Genomic DNA, 4206 nt, shown 5'->3' with positions numbered 1-4206 from the left:
TGTGAAAAGTAATAATCCTGGCATTCTGGTATGCACCTACCGCCTCTGCCTTTCATAATAATAATAGTTTATTTTCAGTCCATGCCGTATAGTTTTAAAAAGCCTTTTGTTTATATTTGTTTATATTTCACCTAATCCTTATGAGAACCTTCTGAGAGAGGTACAAGTATGGCTCCCATAGTGCAGAAGAGGAAACTGAGGCTGGGGAAGATTATAGGGTTTTTCCGAGATCACATAGGTATAAGCACTGGAGCCAGGTCTGAAGGCAAGCCACCCTCCATGCTCACCCCACGCCTTCTGTGTATTCCTTCTCTTTAGTCCTTGACTTTTATAACCCTCTCCACTGTACCCCTATCTACCTGTGGCTCCCTTGATAGGAGGGACTTTCTGAAAGAAGACATGTCTACAAAGCAAGATCAAAGAAAAGGTACTTTGCTTTCCTTATGGCTCCCTAGGGAAAGTGTCAAGTTCTTGAATTTGGAATGGCAACTCCCTCTCAAAAAGCCTTTTAGGGATCCCACTACCTTGATGCCTCTCTAAGCACTATTACTCCCCAGACTTCTATCTTGCTTTACTGACCCATATCCCACCTGACATCCCTACAAGGCAAGGAGCAGAATTTTGATGTCGCCCCCAACTGAATGGTAACGTGGTTTTTTCAGCATTCAGAACATCCCCTGCTGTCTCTATCTATCCTCTGGCATTCACAACATATAAGACTACCGTTTGCTCCCATTCCCCACATATTCTCCATACAGTCCTTTAGCAACACTTTGGATTCTGAGTTTAACCTACATACAAGTGCCATCTGGGACAGTGAAATACACCCCACTGACCTGCAACCAAGTTCTCTCTGCTCGGGGGCCAAAGACTTCCACTCCTAAGAGTTGTGCCTGAATCAGAATTGCCTTTACTACCCTCACAGCCAAGACTCTCCCACTCGGCGCTTGCTCTTTCTTTCGTTAGTTGACTCATGAATGAATGAATGATTCATTTTTCCAAGATTAATGCTATAGACATGCATTTTGTCTTCCTACCTCAGTGAGTTGGTGTGAACCAAAATATTATGTACAATTCAGGTATGGAAATGAAATGTCAAGGAAAGTTCATTTGTGACTCGGAATACTATTGAGACACCCACCCACATCTCAACAGGGCTATTGAGTGCTACCAAAGCCCCCTTAGCTTGTATTGTGTTTCATAGCTATTATTTCATACACAGCTTGGACAGGCAGAGGATAGTTACAAAAAGGTTATGCAATCTTTCTCAGGTCCTTTTCCTAGCATCAGTTATGATTCTAAATTAGGGAGAGCTTGTGACATTTCCACTCTGATTTATCTCCTGAGCCTCATTTTCTTCATTTACTCTTTGTCAGCACCTGCCCCCTGCTCCCAGCCATCTTGCCATAACCAATTTCTGGTCATGTCGAGGTCAGGGCTCAGGACCGGAACACTTTCAAAGGCTCCAGGAAATAAGAATCTATGCCGTTCTATCATTTCCAGTTTTTCCATGATTTAGGGCAATTCAAAGCCCTAAATATAGAAGAAGCCATCTGGGTCAGCTCTTTCTACCCCTGGCCTTTTTTTGGGTTGGTGCAAAGATAATTGAGGTTTTGGCCATTACTTTTAATACATGGGAGGAAGCTGAAGCCCGGGGAAGTTAAATGGCTTTTGAAAGGCACACAGCTAGCTGAGAGCAGAGCTGAAGCCATAGCTCAGGTTTCTGGGTCCCGTCATCATCCCACTAACCTGGCAGAGCTCTGCAAGGCTATGGCCCCCAAGCAGGGCTCCCCTGGCTGGCCAAACATCGCCTGTTCATGGGTCACTCAGCTGATGGCTGCCTAGTTCCCTGCTGTTCTGTGGATGGCAAAACAGTCTCTGGTGCCCTCAAGAGGCAGAACTGAGTAGTGGTGCCCTCCTAAAAGATCTAGATGCAGCCTGAGAAATGAACCCTCAGATCCACCTCCACCCCCATTTTACAGAACACATTGGATTCATCTTTTTATTTTAAAGATCATGAAACATGTTTAAGAATATCAAAATATATTTGAAACACAAACTTCCCCTAATGCCCTCAAAAGCATAGACTAGAGGCCGGGCGCTGTGGCTCACGCCTGTAATCCCAGCACTTTGGAAGGCTGAGGCAGGCGGATCACAAGGTCAGGAGATCGAGACCAGCCTGGCCAATATGGTGAAACCCCCATCTCTAGTAAAAAAAAAAAAAAATACAAAAATTAACCAGGCAGGCAGCATGCGCCTGTAATCCCAGCTACTCAGGAGGTTGAGGCAGGAGAATTGCTTTAACCCAGGAGTGGAGGTTGCAGTGAGCCAAGATCACACCACTGCACTCCAGCCTGGGCAACAGAGCAAGACTCCATCTCAAAAAAAAAAAAAAAAGAAAAGAAAAGAAAAGAAAGCATAGACTAGAACTAGAGCCTGGACCCCTGTGAGAACCAAGAAGCCCGTAGGCCCAGGCCATGTGCCTACTCCCCTGAGAACCTCTCCAGAACCTAAACTTGAAAGGTGTGAGCAGAAAGGAAAGGTGGTGAGGTAAGGTAACTCCATGGATAACCAGGTGCTGGCTTCTCTCTTGGTCATAGGAGAGCCACAGCACTGCCTTCTCATCAAAGGCTGGAAAAACCTATGTTCAGGATGCACAGCCCTGGGTGGTGAGTCGGGGCTGACTCATAGTAAACAAGAAATGGGCAAGAATATCTCCCTGGTGGTGTCCTGAAGCCCTGGCCTCCCTAGAGGTGCTGGGAAGGGAAGTGTGAGAGTACTACAGGAATGTGCACGGGAAGGAGGAAAGGAACCAACAAAGGGTGATCTAGATGGGGGGGACCACGGGTGGAGGAGTCAGGAAGGCCTGGGAGTTCTCAGAGCAGCAGTGACAGGGGGTGAGCCCAAGCCATCAGCTTCATTGCTAAGAGCTATAAGGAACCCAGGGCTGTCTGCATCTTTGTTCTGTAAAAGACATCTAGACACTGGGGCCTTTACTAACCACTCACACATACTCTATGCAAGCAAAATTAATTGTTCTATTGTCTATTCCCATAGCCCTGTGTAGACACTTACCTTGTGTTACATTTTGTTTCATATCTGACTCCAACTATCCAATTCGACAAATATTTATCCAGTGTTTCTGTTTGGCAGGGACTGTGCTGCCACAAAAGACTTAAGCAACTCTGTCTCATTTGTCTCTAAGTCTCCTGCACTGCCAGCAAAATGCAACTTGATAACTATTAGATTTAAATACTGTATTTTTAGGCAGGACAAATAGAGATGCTGATTCCATTTGTGAAGTATGGGATTCTAGGCACTTGGGTTTCTAGTTCATAGTTCTATGTGTTGTTCTTATATATGTGGCCAATGGGGGCCGTCCTCTCCCTGACCCTCTACTGTCTTTTTCTTCCTCATCCTCACTCTAAGGAAGATGGTTGTATCAGTCAGGGTTATTAACCCCAGCTTCTGTCACAAATAATCCCTAATCTCAGTAACTTAGCACAATAAAAGTTTATTTCTCACATAAATTTTTTTAAATATTTTAAAATTATACTTTAAGTTCTGGGGCACATGTACAGAACGTGCAGGTTTGTTACATAGGTATACATGTGCCATGGCAGTTTGCTGCACCCATCAACCTGTCATCTACATTAGGTATTTGTCCTAATGCTATCCCTCCTCCTCTCCCACCCCACACCCCGACAGGCCCCGCCCGGTGTGTGATGTCCTCCCTGTGTCCATGTGTTCTCATTGTTCAGCTCCCACTTATGAGTGAGAACATGCAGTGTTTGGTTTTCTGTTCTTGTGTTAGTTTGCTGAGAATGATGGTTTCCAGCTTCATCTGTGTCCCTGCAAAGGACATGAACTCATCCTTTTTTATGGCTGCATAGTATTCCATTGTGTATATGTGCCACATTTTCTTTATCCAGTCTATCATTGATGGGCATTTGGGTTGGTTCCAAGTCTTTGATATTGTCTCACATAAATTTGAAGATTCTGTTTCTTCACACACTTCCAGGCACAGCAAAGCATAATGGCAAGTCACAGATTCAGACATTCCTGGTCAAGCTGCTCTCCTTGGCAGCTCTCTCCTAAAGTGGCAACTCAGCATCCAGGCTCCTTCTATCCTGTGGCTCCACCATCCCCTAGGCCCTCCTTGTCACCTCTCCTGGATCCTCTGCATTCAGCCAAATGGCAGTCAAA

At 45.2% G+C, this 4206-nt stretch overlaps 1 annotated feature.

Annotated features, from left to right (window-relative positions):
• Window positions 1551-2065: an enhancer, noted in NCBI's record as "OCT4-NANOG hESC enhancer chr1:162025767-162026281 (GRCh37/hg19 assembly coordinates)". NCBI's record gives its function as "activates a minimal SCP1, AML or CMV promoter by ChIP-STARR-seq in naive H9 embryonic stem cells {active_cell/tissue: H9 hESC(naive)}" and the evidence as "EXISTENCE:reporter gene assay evidence [ECO:0000049][PMID:30033119]".

This window comes from Homo sapiens, chromosome 1 (genome assembly GCF_000001405.40).
Source record: "Homo sapiens chromosome 1, GRCh38.p14 Primary Assembly".
In the NCBI taxonomy this organism is placed as follows: Eukaryota; Metazoa; Chordata; class Mammalia; order Primates; family Hominidae; genus Homo; species Homo sapiens.
This window is presented reverse-complemented; position numbering and strand designations above follow the sequence as displayed.